The sequence below is a fragment of the Homo sapiens genome, chromosome 17 (assembly GCF_000001405.40).
Source record: "Homo sapiens chromosome 17, GRCh38.p14 Primary Assembly".
Taxonomy (NCBI): domain Eukaryota; kingdom Metazoa; phylum Chordata; class Mammalia; order Primates; family Hominidae; genus Homo; species Homo sapiens.
In genome coordinates this window covers 32,986,074-33,002,954 of record NC_000017.11, presented here as the reverse complement: position 1 = coordinate 33,002,954, position 16,881 = coordinate 32,986,074, and the positions used below count along the sequence as shown (strand labels likewise).

Sequence of the window (16,881 nt, the reverse complement as noted above, 5' to 3'; positions counted from 1 at the left end):
TTTAGACATGTTTGGTTTTAATTATGTATCAAGCAATCAAACAGCTAGGATAGGAGTCTAACGCCAAAAATTAAATCTATTTAAGAAACTGGAAATTTAAAGTGTGAACAAGTGAGCCCTGGGTTAACACTGGTTACCTTTGGTTATCTTTGTATTCTACTCACTCGATACCACAAACACATGGCACCAAAATTTTTTCTGTAATAAAAAAACTTACAGCTTGAAATTCAAAAAAACAAAACAAAACAAAGATCTGAAGAAATAAAATTCCAGGAAGACAAGAGAGAGGTACAGAGACCCTGTGGTGCAAACAGCTTGTTGCATTCAAGGGACAGAGTGTAATGAATGGGAGAAGAATGATCGGTGATAATGAAAGGCGTGAAGCAGCATGCTACCCTCAGGAAACTAACCGCCAAGGACACAAACTAGCTAGAGCAAAAGTTTCCGAACAGGTGAGAGTTGAATCTGTAGCAGTCAGCTGAGTCTTGGTCATGAAAGACCTTGTATACCAACCCAAGGAACTTGAACTTTAACCCTATAAGATAAGAAAAGCTATTGGGCCTAGGATGCAAGGCAGAAACAAGATAGAAAGCTCACTCTGAGGGAGGAGGTGGAGTTGCAAGGACCAAGGTTAGAGACACGAACACTCTTAGGAAGCCATTGCAATCGTCCTTGGGAAGAGGTGATGAGGACTTGATTTAAAGCAGCTGCATGTGGATAGAAAGGAGGGAGAGTTTCTAGAGATATAAAGAAAGTAAAAGAGGTAAGACTTAATGGCCCATGGTAAGTGGGGTGAGCGACGTGGAAGGAGAGAGATACCAGGACATGGCCTGGTTACTCTCACCAACCTGAGCATGTCCTTCAGGAGCTGAGCTCTGAACATAGAGGCTCCCCTGGCCTCTACATTCAGATGGGCCTGCACACTCTGTAGCCCTCATAACAAGGGAGGCCTCCCTGGCTTTGATCAGGGCCCTCTTCCCTAAATACTCCTTCTCCAGCTCCGTCTTCACCTGCTCCTGGTCAACCACCCAGCCCAGGCCTTCAGGGTCCCTTGTCCAGGCCTGATCCCAGTCCAGCCCCATCTTGAAGAGACTGTGGCCATCATCACTGCTCACAGCCCCCAAATCCTTTAACAATGTTCTCTTTGGTTCCAAGAGCTTCACTACACCTATTCCTGGGCTCCTCTCCCAGACAAGCTGAATGGGACCCAGTGAAGCAACCAGGCCAGGCAGGCAACAGAAGTCTGAAGTTGAAGTAGAAGGCACGAATCCTTCAAAGATGGATGGTTGGACCATGGACTGGAAGAATTAATATCATTAAAACGACCATACTTCCCAAAGCAATCTACAGATTCAATGCAATCCCTATCAAAATACCAACATCATTTTCCAGAGAATTAGAAAAAAAATCCTAAAATTTATATGAAACTAAAAAAGGGCCCAAATAGCCAAAGCAATCCTAAGCAAAAAGAACAAAGCCAGAGGCATCACATTATCTGATTTCAAATTATATTACAAGGCTATAGTAGCCGAAACAACATGGTACTGGTATAAAAAACAGACTCACAGATCAGTGGAACAGGGTGGAGAACTCAGAAATAAGGCCACATATTTACAGCCAACCGATTTTTGACAAAACTGACAAGAACATACGTTGGGGAAAAGACGCTTTTTTCAACAAATGGTGCTGGGAAAACTTCTGCCATGTGCAGAAGAATGAAACGACCCCTGTCTCTCATCATATACAAAAATCAATTCAAGATGGATTAAAGACTTAAATGTAAGACTCACAACTATAAAAATACTAGAAGGAAACCTAGAGAAAACTCTCCTGAACATTAGTCTAGGTAAATAATTTATGACTAAGACCTCAAAAACACAGGCAACAAAATGAAAAATAGACAAATGGGACTTAAACTAAAAAGATCCTGCACGGGAAAAGAAATAATCAACAGAATAAACAACTTGTAGAATGGGAGAAAATATTTGCAAACTATTCATTCAACAGGGGACTCATATGTAGCATATACAAAGAACTCAAACAACTCAACGACAGAAACAATCCCATTAAAAAGTGGGCAAGCCAGGCATGGTGGCTCATGCCTAAAATCCCAGCACTTTGAGAGGTCAAGGCAGGAGGATTGCTTAAGTTCCAGGGTTCGAGACCAACCTGGGCAAAAGAGTGAAACCTTGTCTCTATAAAAAAACAAAAATTAGCCAGGTGTGGTGGCATATGCCTGTAGTCTCAGCTACTCAGGAGGCTGAGGTGGGAGAATTGCTTGAGCCCAGGAGGTCAAGGCTACCATGAGCCATGATCAAACCACTGCACTCCAGCGTGGGCAACAAAGCAAGACCCTTTCTCAAAAAAAAAAAAAAAGTGGGCAAAGGACATAAATAGTCATTTTTAAAGAAGATATATAAATGGTCAACAGTTACATGAAAAATGTTCAACATCACTGATTATAGAGAAATGCAAATTTAAACCACAATGAAATATCATCTCACCCCAATCAGAATATCTGTTATTAAAAAGGCAATAAACAACAAATGTTGGTGATGATGCAGAAAAAAGGGAACTCTTATACACTGTTAGTGGGAGTGTAAATTAACATATCTGTGGAAAATAGTATGGCGATTTATCAAAGAACTAAAAGTAGAACTACCATTCAATTTAGCAATCCTTCTACTGGGTATCTACCCAGAGGAAAAGAAACCATTATGTCAAAAAGACACCTGCATTCATGTTTATCAAAGCACTATTCACAATAGCAAAGATATGGAACCAACCTAAGTGTAATGGATGAATGGAAAAAGAGAATTTGATGTATATACACAATGGCATACTATTCAGCCCTAAAAAAAGAATGAAATCATGTCTTTTGCAGCAACATGGTTGGAATTGGAGGTCATTATCTTAAGTCAAAAATGCCAGGGACAGAAAGTCAAATGTCACATGTTCTCACTCCTAAGTGGGTGTGAAAAAATGTGTACACATGGACATAAAGATTGGAATAATAGGGGCCGGGCACAGTAGCTCATGCCTGTAATCTCAGCACTTTGGGAGGCCAAGGTGGGCAAATTACACAAGGTCAGGAGTTCAAGACCCGCCTGGTCAACATGGTGAAACCCCATCTCTACTAAAAATACAAAAATTAGCCAGGTGCGGTGGTGGGCACCTATACTCAGGAAGCTGAGGCACGAGAATCTCTTGAGCCTCGGAGGCAGAAGTTGCAGTGAGCTGAAATCGCACCACTGCACTCCAGCTTGGGTGACAGAGTGAGACTCCATCTCAAAAAAAAAGGACTGGAATAATAGACAATGGAGATTCAGAACAATGCAGGGTATGAGGGGGGTGGACAATGAAAAATTACTTAATGGGGACAGTGTACATTACTCAGATGAGGGATACTTTAAAAGCCCTGTCTTGACCACTATACAATCTATATGTGTAACAGAATCACACAGGTACCCCATTAGTTGTACAAATAAAAATAAATAAAATTTTTAATTTGTCTTACAAAAAATAAATTTAAAAAAAAGAAAGATGGATGGGTCATGGGTCCCAGGCCAGATGACCATAACAACAACCCCTTGGCAAAGTACAGTGAGTAAGCGTACATGTGGAGTCACACTGAGCTGGGTGCAAATTTATCTCATCTGAGCCTCTGTTTCCCCTTGTCTGTGGAATGGTGGTCATAATGGTAGCTGCATCATAGCTATTGTTCTAGGGTCTAGATTAGATAATGCATGGCACATGGTAGGCACACCGTGTTTGCCTTGATGTTAAAAAGACAGCAGCTTCTCCCTACTTATGATTTAATAGCTCCATTAGTCATTGATGCCCCTACTGCCAGCAGGGTTCTTCACCACTCTGTCCCCTTGCATGAGTCGCTCTCAAGTTTCATCATCATCTTGACCAGACCAGCAGGGGAAGGAAACTGGCCTGACTCGCTAATTGTGGACATTCCACGCCCCTCTGGTGTATGCTGACCCGGAGGCATTCAGGGTGGCTGAATTAGGTGGAGGAGGATGGTGGGGGGCGACAGTGTCGTCCCCTCCTCTCCCTAAGAGTCACCAGCCATGCCTCAACCAACAGTTCAGTGCTTACAGGTTTCTTTGGAACCTTTTCAGAAGAATCTACAGTCTGAACTCAGGGCTCAGGCTTCTCACACATCATCCTATCTCTGCAACTGCTGCTGCTGCCACCACATCCACTGCGATCCTGAGACCCACCCACCTTCCTCCTTTAGAGGCAGTCGTCCCAGATTAGCAGGGGACCGCGCTATCTTTTTCTGGGCTTCTCGTGTGCTGACTAAGGCAGAAGGCTGCACTGGCTGTGCGGATTGAAAGCCACGGTCACTCCCGTCCCATCCTCCAAACTCCTAGCAGTAGTGGGCAAAGTGAGCGCACCGTCTCTATCAGCGGCACTTGAATCTTCCGCCACGAGAGGGCACCAGAGAGCAAGGTGAAAGCAGAAGCTCCGGGTGGTCATTCTTCTCCCGCGACCAAGCAGCACCCCCGGCTTGGCAGGGGTGTGTGTTAGTAGTCACAGCTGGAGGGCCAAAGCACAGTGACCACCATCTGCAACCAAAGCTGCAGAAAAAAAGTGTCCCAAGAACCTTCCCAATCAAGCCAGAGGTGCACAGCCCTAGATCCAGCTAGGGTTGCCAGGTAAAACATAGGACACCCAGTTAAGTTTAAATTTTAGATAAACGTCAAATAGTTTTAATATAAATATGTTCCTATGCAATATTTTGGACATGCTTAAAATTATCTGTTGTATATCCAAAGTTCAAATTAAACTGGGGCATCCTGTTTTTGTTGTTTCTTATGTATTTGTTTTGTTAAATCTGGCCACCCTAGACCCAAATTTTGCCAGGTGTGGTAGACAAAAAATGCACTGGTGCCCCCCCCAAACACCTGCCCACAGGCCACCAGAAATGGAGGTAAGCCTCTGGTGCTGGGCTTTCTGGAGTCCACTGGAAACCCAGCCCAAGCGGACAGGTGAGGTGAGGGAAAACGGAGGTGCTCTGGCTCTGACATGGCACCTGCAGACACACTGAGAGCTGAGAGCCATATTCACGTTCAACCATCCTTTATTCGCTGGCTTGTCTTCCCAAGCCTAGGTCAGGAACCAAACCACATTTCCCAGCCTGCTGTGCATGGTTCCGTCCATCCTAGAAGTCACAGCCATCCACCCATTCAGTGAGGTCTTTTCCCTGGCAGTGATGCCTCCAGGCCTCCCTGAGGATGGAGAACAGGGAAGAGGAGAGATAATATCAGCTGCAGTTGCCAGTCACCGCCCAGAGAAGAACAAGAAGGAGAGTGTGGTCTCTAAACCAGAAGTGAGGAAGGAAAGGGGTTTGTTCCCTGCTGCTGCCCACCAGTCCTAACCATACCACCGCTGCGGGGCTCCAGCCCAAGTTACTTACCAGTAACCCAGACCCTGAGGCTCTTGGGTTATCTTCATGGCACAGATAACGGTATCCTTGAGATTAGGATTCAACAAATCTGGGGTGATAGGCAGAGAAACACAATGAGAGAACAGGAGACATCCAGGTGTGTGTGTGTGTGTGTGAGTGTGTATCTGTCTGTCTCTCTCTCTCTCTCTACACACACACACACACACACACACACACACACTCCACTCGCCTAAATCCAATCCTGTCTCAACCACTCCGGAAGCACAGGTACAACCCTATCCCTCTCCCCCTCCATCAGAAACAATCCTCCCTCCATTCCTATAGCCCTAAGGCAGTCTCCTATCTGGGACCCCAATTCAGACTGATGGAAGACCTACCCTCATCCCTTGTCCCATCTCCCTCTCCTCCGTGGGCCCAGCCTGATGTGGGGGAACCCTCACTCAGAGATGGGGGTAGCAAACTAAACTGGGAATGGAACAAAAGCTAATGCAGGGCCTGACTCCTGCCAGCCCTGGGCCCAGGCCCAGCTACCTGAGCAGTACATCCGGCACACGTTGGGGACGTTCGGGGTGAGGTTGCTGCACCACCTCCGGCTGTTGATCTGGAAGATCCCGTTGTTGGTGCTCCCATCAGCCTCGTAGTCCAAAGCAGCTGCGTTGAAACCGCTTGTGAAATAAGCAAGGCAGACCCCTGCATAGGGCAGAGCATAGGCCTGGGGGTCAGATGGTTACAGCCACCCCAGACCAGGGTGCTCACTGCACAGGTCCCACGCTGGCTCCACCGAGCCTCTCCTGCCTGATCAAGGTGATTGGGGCAGGTGCCTCCCACCTGCTTTGCAAACCAATCAATCGAGGCTTAGAGGTGCACAGCGACTCACCCAGGGTCCCATCCAGCTACCAAATAGCATGGGTTGGGGCTGGCCTCAGGCCTCTTGACTTTTAGCCCAGCAGTCTTCCCATTATCTCATTGTTCAGCACATAGTAGGGCCCAATAAATTTGTTGAATGAATCTACAAGTGCTAAATCTTTTTTTTTTTTTTTTTTTGAGACGGAGTCTCACTCTGTTGCCCAGGCTGCAGTGTAGTGGCGTGATCTCAGCTCACTGCAACCTCTGCCTCCCGGGTTCAAGCAATTCTCCTGTCTCAGCCTCCCAAGCAGCTGGGATTATAGGTAGCTGCCACCATGCCCAGCTAATTTTTGTATTTTTAGTAGAGACGGGGTTTCGCCATATTGGCCTGGCTGGTCTCGAACTCCTGACCTCAGAGTGATCCACCTGCCTTGGCCTCCCAAAGTGCTGGGATTACAGGCCTGAGCCACTGCACCCAGCCTACAAGTGCTAAATCTTCAGTAACAAGATTAGGAAGACCCAGGTGGAATCTATAGAGGGTGCTCGACCTGTTAGAAAGATGAGCCCCGGTATGACTGCCCTTCCCACATGGCCATCTAAAACTGCCACCAGCTTGAAAAGTTTGGCATGACTGCTCTGTTCAGTTTGTCTTTTCTAATTTCAGAAGGAATGTCTGATCCTTGTGGCCATAGTTAAGTTTAGGGGACTGAGCTGTTTGTTTCCTTTGACCCCGACTTTAGCAGCAGGGGGAAATGAAGGGGTGACTCCAATTTGGTTGCCTGCTGCCTGCCTACTGCGTGTTTTACTCCGTGCTGGCTGTTCTCTACCTGCCATCTCAAATCATCTTCAGTTTACAGAAGGGCTCTAAAAGCTCCCGAAGCCACAGCCCTTGAATGAGAAGGAGAGAGGGAGGGAAAGAGGGAGGGAGGTGTGGGGAAGTCAGGGCCCGCCAGGGAGAGGGGTTCTCACAGTCAGCCAGGCTGTATCCCCGGTATCCGTCCAGCCCGAAGTCATGTAGCACTCTGGCCAGTTCACAACGACCGTAGAGCTTGGCCTCACTGGAGGGTAGCAGGCAGCTGAGCAGACAGACCAGGGCCAACAACATGATCCCAGCTGGGCACCACCGCCTTCTGAGAGCCCTGCTCCTGGCTTCTATGCCGGCGGCAGAGGTGGAGCCACCACCACTCTGGCTCAGAGCTGAGCTTTGGGATGACAGGCAGCTCACCAGCCTCCGTGGTCCACTCACAGAAGGAGAAGAAACAGGGCTTGAGTGCACCCCTGGGAAAGGGGAGAGGAGAGAAGGGGTGGGCAGAAGGCCAGGCTCCAGCAGCACGTATCAGCCCCCTTGCATTCCTGATCAGCATCACCCTGACCCCGAGACCAGCCCCTCTCCTTCCCCATCCTGCTTCACACCACCCAGGCCAGAGACAGGAAGAAAACTAACCTATTGTAAGCTCCATATTACACGTTACGGATTATTTAGTCCTGAGGCCCAAGATTTTATAACTAGGAAGGGGCGAAGTTTGGATGGAGACAAAGTTCTATAAATCCAAAGCCCCACTGAGCAGATGCTCCCGGAGGGGATGGCCAGGCGGTGTGTTCATGGGTCTCTCAGCCCAACTGTCAAGGGACAGCCCTTCTGGCATTGACCCTCCATCTCCAGATCTTAACTGAAACAAGGTCTCCCCCAGAACACTGCTCCCCTATAGCCCGCTCAAGGGGAAGCTGCTCTTTCTCCACACACAAGACCCCAAGATGTCCCGAGAGTCTCCTCCACCCCCACCACCACTTCTAAACCATAACCTGCAAAAAGCCCTTCTCCCTGGAAGCCCAGCCTGCCCGTCTGGTTTGACCTCCCTGCCCTGTCATCATTGGCTGTGTGTGGCCAGTCCCCCAAATCACAGAGGACATTAGCACCTGGGTGTCACAGCATCAGGGCTCCTTCATCTCCCCAGACCTAGTCCCCTCCAGTTCCTCTGTGTCTCAGCCAGTCCCTCCCCTGCCCTGGTCATCCCTGCTTCTTGTCCTCACCCGCATTTCCCCACCTCTGTGAGCTCCTATCCCACTGCCCACCACCTCTGACAAGCCTTCCCATGCTTCTCTTGACCTCTGCGCCTCCACACCTGCTCTCCACCTTCACAGAGTCAAAAAGTGAAAGAGTTGTACAAACTCTTGTTTGTGCCAATTGGTGTCCCTGGTCTCCAACCTCCACGGGACCTTGAATGCCCCCGAGGATGACAAAGTGGTTGAGGTCATGGCTTTGCAGCAAGGTTCGGGTTGGAAGCCCCCCTCTGCTCCTTGCTCCATCTCTGATTTTGGGCCCTCCCTGAGGCTTGTTTCTTCCTCTATAAAATGAGGACGTGAGTAACACCTGCCTCATATGATTGTTGGAAGAATAAATGAGAAAAGGCGTGGGCACAGCGTAGCTCTTGGCACTAAAAATAAGTGAGTTGTTGTTTCTGTTATGAACTACAACTAACACTGGTACTCGCGCTTGTCTCTGCTCAGACTTCTCTCTCCCATTTCCCTCACAGGAAATGAAAACCCTCAGTATTGTCCTTTAGCACGCCACGCTGTCCCACCCCTTGGCTCTCAGAACATGATCTCGTCTCCTGCTGCACTAAGAAAAGCAAGGTGCTCACTTGTGGAATTTCTTCCTCTTTCTGCCTTAGCCCTGCTCACTTGCAAACTCATCAGTAGCCTCCTCGCCCTCATCTCCACCCCGTCATTGTTTGGGTACGGGGCCTCCAATCTCATGCAGGCCCATCTTCCCTCTAAGCTCTAGATTTGTCCTTCCCATCACCAAGCCTTGCTCCATCCGTTGTCCCTCCTCTCCCGGCGCGCTAGCACCGTTCCCCTCCTGCTCCTCCTTCCCCTGCTCGTAGAGACTTTCTCAGTCTCCATCTTCTAAATGCCTTCCCTCAAGTCTCATGCTGACTGCTACTCCCTTGTCTCTTTCCCCCTCTTCTCGCCCAAACTCCTGGGGAAAATCGCCACTTTCTCCCTCCCGCTTGTTTTCCAACCTGGTGAATTGGCCTCCCTGCCATCACCGCGCGCTGAAACTGCTCTGCGGGTCCAAGGAGGCCCCCTTCGACTCTGTCTCATGGGAGCTCTCAGCTGTACTCATGCCGTCCGCCACCCGCTGTTGAAAGGCTTGCCTCTCCTGGTTTCCACGATGCTCCCTTCTCCCAGGTTTCCTCCTCCCTCTCTGGCTGACTCTCCTCCTTATCCTCCGTGGAATTCACTTCTGCCCAGGCCATAAACGCTGATATGCTTTCTAAGGCCTTCCTGCCTTGAGCCCTCTTCTCTTCCACTTTGAGGAAACCCCCTGGGCAGCCCTGCTGTTAGCCACCGCCTGAAGGCTGGCAACCCCTGTGGCATCTTCCCCAAGACCTCAGAGGCAGCTACTGGCAGGACACTTCCACTTGAATGCCCTGCAGGCACCTCAAACCCAGCACATCTAAACAGAACCACTGTTTCCATCAATGCCTTCTTCTGCCTTGTGACTTTCCTTATGTGCTTTAAAACATGATGGGCCACACATTTACCCAAACTGGAAATATGAATGTCATTCTTCACTCCTTCCCCATGACATCTTTCACCCAGTTCCAACCAATCAGTCCCAATGTCCTGTGGATTCCACCTTCCCTCCGAGAGCACCGTCCTTTCCTAGGTTCACACCTCCATCCTGGCTTCCTTCATGGTCTTCTTGTATCATGTCTCAACCACTCTTCCAAGCTATTCTATACACATCCATCAGAACAAATTTGTTAAATGAAAAGCCCAGCCCTGTGACACCTTGGATGGCTCCCACCATAACTGCCCCTTCGAGGTCCACACGGCCCTTCACGACCCTTCACAGCCCAGCCCTGCGGCCCACTCCCTCATTCACACGTTATGTTTCAGCAGTGCCACCTTGTTCTCTCACAATGACCTTGCTTTCTAGAACATTCACCCTCTCCTTTCCTCTACATGGTTAACTCTGACTCATACTTGAAGGGTCTTATCAGAGGTGTGTTCCCCAGTGAGAGTCTCCTGGCATGCCACCACCCCCCACACTCTCACACACCCGATCTTCCACATCCTCTGTCACACGAGGCTGGAATAGATGTCAGTCTTTCCCACCACAAAGTTAACTTCTGAAGAACGGCGGCTGGTCTTATTTATCTGCATGTCTTATTTATCTGCAGAGTTGCTGGCATGGAGTAGCTGCTCTGTGGCTGCTTCTGAAACTCAAGTCCACAAAAGGCGTGGCCACAGGGACATGAGACCTTCTTCTCACCGCGAGGGGAGTGAGAAGGAGGAGGCAGCCAACCTGGTGGAGTTTGTCAAGTCTTTGAACACTGTGCCAGGCCTTTCCCAGAGCTTTTCCAACTTAATCTCATCCAATCCTCTCAGCAATTGAAAGGTGTGGGGTTAATATCCCTAAGTTGTAGAGGAGGAAACTAAATTGACTGCTACACATGGACTGTTTTTGATTTTTTTTTTTTTTTTTTTTTTGTAGAAAAGTGACTTAAAAGGAATTCCATCCTGAGCATTTCACAACAGCTCCAGAGTTTCTCTCTCTCTCTCTCTCTCCTCTCTCAGCTGGTCACTCTTCCAGGCCAGGATAACCCCACCCTAACCACCACCTTGTTTTTCTCCACCTGGTCTCTGGCCAGACCAACCCAGCGCCCCTGTTAACAGCCCCAGGAAGAAGGGAAAGGGGGCTCACTGATCAGGGGTGCTCCCCGCAGAGCTGAGACCATGGTGACAATGGCAGCAGCAGCAGTGGCTCAAAACCCTGCTTCAGCTCAAGATGTCCCCCACAACCTTGCCAGGGCCCCAGGCACCCAGTGTTAAGAGAACAATGGGGAAGGCAGGCTCCAGGCCAACGGAGGGCCTTCTAGAACTCCAGCTCTGTGAGCTCATCTTCCACAAACAGCGCCACCACAGAGCTTTGACTAGCCCACCTGAGCCCTTCCACTCAGGGTCCAGAGGCAGAGCAGGATATCTAATCCCAGCCCCCTTGCACATCTCTGCCCCACACACACACACACATACACACATGCGCGCGCGCACACACACACACACACACACACACACACACACACTACACTGAGGGATGACACTTCCTCTCCCAACAGATCTTTCAGATGATTATCCAGGGATAATGGTAGACACCTAGGGATGGTGATGGATGTACAGAGATGGTGATGGGTACCCAGGGATGTTAACAGGTGTGCAAGGACAGTGGTGCGTGTGCAAGGATGGTAGTGGGTGCCCAGAGATGGTGGTGTGTGTGCAGGGATGGTAGTGGGTGCACGGGGATGATGGTGGGTGCCCAGGGATGGTGATAGATGTGCAGGGATGGTGGTTGGTGCCCAGAAATAGTGGTGGATATGCAGGCATTGTGGTGGGTGCCCAGGGACAGTGGTGGGTGTGCAAGAACAGTGGTGGATGTGCAAGGATGGTAGTGGGTGCCCAGGGATGGTGGCAGATATGCAGTGATGGTGGTAGGTGCCCAGGCACAGTGGTGGGTGTGCAGGGACAGTAGTGGGTGCCCAGGGATGGCAGTGGGTGCCCCAGGATGGTGGTGGGTGTGCAGGGATGTTGGTGGGTGCCCAGGCACAGTGATGGGTGTGCATGGATGGAAGTGGGTGCCCAAGGATGGTAGCAGGTGCCCCAGGATGGTGGTGCATGTGCAGGGATGGTGGTGGGTGTTCAGAGACAGTGGTGGATGTGCAGGGATGGTAGTGTTGGGTGCCCAGGGATGGTGGTGGATGTTCAGGAATGGCGGTGGGTGCGCAGAGGCAGAGGTGAGTGTGTAGGATGGTGGTCAGTGTGCAGGTACGGTGGTAAGTGTGCAAGGATAGTGGTAGATTCCCAGAGATGGTGATGTGTGCCCAAGGATTGTGAGGGATGTGCAGGGATGGGGGTAGGTGCCCAGGGATGGTGGTGGGTTCCTAGGGATGGTGGTGGTTGCCCTCTGCTTTTCCAGGCTGCCCATCTCACCATGAAGCTCCTTTGAGTGCCAGAAAGTTCTTCCTTAATGCTGAGCCACAAGCCACTCCCTTCTCCACCTGGATGATGGCCATTCAGTGTGGACAGGTGCAGGGCAAAGGTTACCCTATTGACCCTAAAACTTAAAGGACAGAGAATTGGAAGGAAAGGGCATGTGGTGCCCACGTCTGTGTCCCACAGGAGCCTGAGTCCCACAGCACAGCAGCTAGAGCATAGGCTTTGGGGTCAGGCTGACCAGGGCTGAACACAGGCGCTAGTGACTTCCAGGTGGATGACCTAGAGAAAACAGCCTCACTTTCTGATTCCTTGATTCTCAAGCGGGGATGACAACACCAACCTCACAGGGTACTAGGAAGGCTCAATGAAACAGCAACAAAGTGCTTAGTACCCCAGGTGCTCAATAAATAATAGTAATTACTACTAAGTGCAGAGCACAGCCATAAAAGTGTCTGGTTGCACCATGTCCACCCTATCTGTCTGGGCCCCACCCCAGGACAACCAAGTTAAAATTGAGGGATGGCCCAGCATCAGCACCAGTATTTTTTTCTTTCATTTTTTTATTGAGGTAAGAACACTTAGTAGGAGATCTACCCTCTTAACATATATTTAATATGCAATCCATTATTGTTGACTGTAGAGGACACTGCTGTACAGCAGCTCTCTTGAGCTCATTCATCTTGCCTGACTGGATTTTCTTTTTTTTCTTTTTTTCTTTTCTTTTTTTTTTTTTGTTTTTTGTTTTTTGTTTTTTGAGATGGAGTTTCACTCTTTTGCCAGGGCTAGAGTGAAGTGGCATGATCTCGGCTCACTACAACCTCTGCCCCCTGCGTTCAAGCTATTCTCCTGCCTCAGCCTCCCAAGTAGCTGGGATTACAGGCATGCACCACCACGCCTGGCTAATCTTTGTATTTTTAGTAGAGACAGGGTTTCACCATGTTGGCCAGGCTGGTCTCGAACTCCTGACCTCAGGTGATCCACCTGCCTTGGCCTCCCAAAGTGCTGGGGTTACAGGCGTGAGCCACCACACCCAGCCACCTGACTGGATCTTTATGCTCATTGATTAGTAACTCCCTGTTTTCTCCTCCTGCCAGCCCCTGGTGACCACCATTCCTCTCTTTGATTCCATGAATTTGACTATTCTAGGTACCTGATAAAAGTAGAATTATTTCCTTTTCTGTAACTGGCATATTTCACTTTGCATATTGTCCTTAAATCTCATCCATATTGTTGCATATGTCAGAAATTTCTTCTTTTTTAAGCCTGAATAGTATTCCACTTTGTGTGTATACCACATTTTCTTTATCCATTCATCTGTGTGTGTTAGCTCATTTTGCATTGCCATAAAGGAACATCTGAGGCTGGGGAACTTAATAAAGAAAAGAAGTTTATTTGGCTCACAGTTCTGTAGGCTGTACAGGAAATATGGTGCCAGCATCTGCTGGGCTTCTGCGAGGCCTCAAGAAGGTTTTACTCATGGTGGAAGGTGAAGGGGGAGCAAGCATGTCACATGGCAGGAGAGGGAGCAAGAGAGATGGAAGGAGATGCCAGGTTCTTTTAAACAACCAGCTCTTGCATGAACTAATAGGATGAGAGCTCACTCATTGCCACAAGGCCAGCACAAAGCCATTTATGAGGGATCCACCACCATGACCCAAACACCTCCCAATAGGACCCACCTCCAACACTGGAGATCACATTTCAACATGAGATTTGGAGGAGACACATGTCCAAACCATATCACAGTGGATGGACACATGTTTCCACCTCTTGGCTTTTGTGAACAATGCTGCAATGAACATGTGATATTGTTTGGCTCTGTGTCCCCACCCAAATCTCAACTTGAATTGCAATCCCCATGTGTCAAAGGAGGAAGTTTTAATTCCCACGTGTCAAGGGAGGGAGGGGATTGGACCATGGGAGGGTTTCCCCCATGCTGGTTTCATGATAGTGAGTGAGTTCTCATGAGATCTAATGGTTTTCTAAGCATCTGACATTTCTACCGCTTGCACTTCTCTCATTTGCCACCTTGTAAAACGTGCCTGCTTCCCCTTCAGCCATGATTGTAAGTTTCCTGAGCCACCTCCACCAGCCATGTGGAACTGTGAGTTAATTAAATCTCTTTCCTTTATAAATTACCCAGTTTTGGGTATTTCTTTATAGCAGTGTGAAAATGGACTAATACAGTAAATTGGTACCAATGTAGTGGGGCACTGCTATAAAGATAACTTGAAAATGTGAAAGCAATTTTGGAACTGAGTAACAGGCAGAGGTTGGAACAGGTTGGAGGGCTCAGAAGAAGACAGGAAGATGTGGGAAAGTTTGGAACTTCCTAAAGATTTGTTGAATGGTTTTGGCCAAAATGCTGATAGTGATATGGACAATGAAGCCCAGGCTCAGGCGGTCACAGATAGAGATGAGGAGCTTATTGGGAACTGGAGCAAAGGTCACTATTGCTATGCTTTAGCAAAGAGACTGGTGCCATTTTGACCATGCCCTGGAGATCTGTGGAACTTTGAACTTGAGAGAGATGATTTAGGGTATCTGGCAGAAGAAATTTCTAAGCAGCAAAGCATTCAAGAAGTGACCTGGGTGCTCTCAAAAGCATTTAGTTATACGCATTCACAAAGACATGGTTTGGAATTTTAACTTATGTTTAAAAGGGAAGCAGAGCATAAAGGTTTGGAAAATTTGCAGCCTGACCACGTGGTAGAAAAGAAAAACCCAGTTTCTGAGGAAGAATTCAAATGAGCTGCAGAAATTTGCATAAGTAACCAGGAACCAAATGTTAGTAGCCAAGACAATGGGAAAAATGTCTCCAAGGCATGTTAGAGATCTTCAAGCCAGCTCCTCTCATCATAGGCCTGGAGTCCTAGGAGGAAAAAATAATTTTATGGGCAAGGCCCAGCACCCTGCTGCTTTGTGCAGCCTTGGCACTTGGTGCCCTGCATCCCAGCCACTCCAGCTCCAGCCAGAGCTAAAAGGGGCCATGGCTTCAGAGGGTACAAACTCCAAGCCTTGGTGGCTTCCACGTGGTGTTGGGCCTGCAGGTGCACAGAAGTCAAGAATTGAGGTTTGGAAACCTCCACTACATTTCAGAGGATGTATGAAAACACCTGGATGTGCAGGCAGAAACCTGCTGCAGGGGTGGAGCCCTCATGGAGAACCTCTGCTAGGGCAGTGTGGAAGGGAAATGTGGGGTTAGAGCCCCCACACAGAGTCCCCACTGGGGCACTGCCTAGTGGAGCTATGAGAAGAGGGTCACTGTTCTCCAGACCCCAGAATGGTAGATCCACTGAAAGCTTGCACTGTGCAACTAGAAAAGCCACAGACACTCAATGCCAGCTGGTGAAAGCAGCCGAGAGGGAGGCTCCACCCTGCAAAACCACAGGGGCAGAGCTGCCCAAGACCATGGGAACCCACCTCTTGCATCAGCATGACCTTGATGTGACACATAAAGTCAAAGGAGATTTTGGAGCTTTGAGATTTAATGACTGACCAGCTGGGTTTTGGACTTGCATAGGGCCTGTAGCCCATGTGTTTTGGCCAATTTCTCCCATTTGGAATGGAAACATTTACCCAATGCCTGTACCCCCATTGTATTTACTGTTTTAGCCCATTTTCACACTGCTATAAAGAAATACCTGAGACTGGGTAATTTATAAAAGAACAAGGTTTAATTGACTCACAGTTCCGCATGGCTGGGGAGGCCTCAGGAAACTTGCCACCATGGTGAAACGGGAAGTAGGCAAATCTTATATGGTGGCAGGCAAGAGAAGTGCAAGCAGGGGAAATGCCAGATGCTTAGAAAACCGTTAGATCTCATGAGAACTCTGACTGGGCACAGTGGCTCATGCTTGTAATCCCAGCACTTTGGGAGGCCAAGGCAGGTGGATTGCTTGAGACCAGGAGTTTGAGACCAGCCTGGCCAACATGGCAAAACCCCATCTCTACTAAAAATACAAAAAAAATTAGGTGTGGTGGCATGCACCTCTAATCCCAGCTACTCAGTAGGCTGAGGCAGGAGAATCGCTGGAACCGGGAGGCAGAGGTTACAGAGAGCTGAGATCATGCCACTGCACTCCAGCCTGACTCAGTCTCAAAAAAAAAAGAAAAATCTCATGAGAACTCACTCACTATCAAGAGAACAGCCTGGGGGAAACTGCCCCCACCCCATGATCCAATCACTTCCCTCCCTACTTCAACACATGGGGATTACAGGTCCCTCCCTCAACACGTAGGGATTAAAATTCTAGATCAGATTTGAGTGGGGACACAGAGTTAAACCATATCAACATGGGAGTGCCAATATCTCTTGGAGATCATGATTCCAATTATTTTGGATAAATACCAAAAAACAGGATTGCCGGATCGTATGGTATTTTTAATTTTTTGAGGAATCTCCACACTATTTTTGTTTTTTTGAGATGGAGTCTTACTCTGTTGCCCAGGCTGGTGTGCAGTGGTACGATCTTGGCTCACTGCAACCTCCATCTCCTGCATTCAAGCAATTCTCTGCCTTAGCCTCCTGAGTAGCTGGGATTACAGACACCTACCACCAAGCCCAGATAATTTTTGTGTTTTTAGCAGGGACAGGGTTTCACCATCTTGGC

General features: G+C 48.7%; 1 protein-coding gene across 3 annotated transcripts, besides 1 other annotated feature; it reads right to left on the bottom strand.

Annotated features, from left to right (window-relative positions):
- Positions 75-610: an enhancer, noted in NCBI's record as "NANOG hESC enhancer chr17:31329363-31329898 (GRCh37/hg19 assembly coordinates)". NCBI's record gives its function as "activates a minimal SCP1, AML or CMV promoter by ChIP-STARR-seq in primed H9 embryonic stem cells {active_cell/tissue: H9 hESC(primed)}" and the evidence as "EXISTENCE:reporter gene assay evidence [ECO:0000049][PMID:30033119]".
- SPACA3 (sperm acrosome associated 3) lies at positions 5,078-11,108 on the bottom strand. Of its 3 annotated transcripts, none has more exons than NM_173847.5 (5): positions 10,983-11,108; positions 7,238-7,546; positions 5,954-6,112; positions 5,432-5,510; positions 5,078-5,243 (listed from the first exon to the last, which is right to left on the bottom strand). In NM_173847.5, exons 1-5 carry the CDS (start codon positions 11,014-11,016, stop codon positions 5,177-5,179), a joined length of 648 nt encoding a protein of 215 aa, NP_776246.1. In that variant the 5' UTR covers positions 11,017-11,108; the 3' UTR covers positions 5,078-5,176. The 3 variants fall into 3 exon arrangements, with proteins under 3 accessions (NP_776246.1, NP_001304154.1, NP_001304155.1); NM_001317225.2 differs by lacking the exon at positions 10,983-11,108 and adding an exon at positions 9,950-10,104 and having other exon boundaries at positions 5,954-6,134; NM_001317226.2 differs by lacking the exon at positions 7,238-7,546.
- Positions 11,109-16,881: the final 5,773 nt, after the last annotated feature.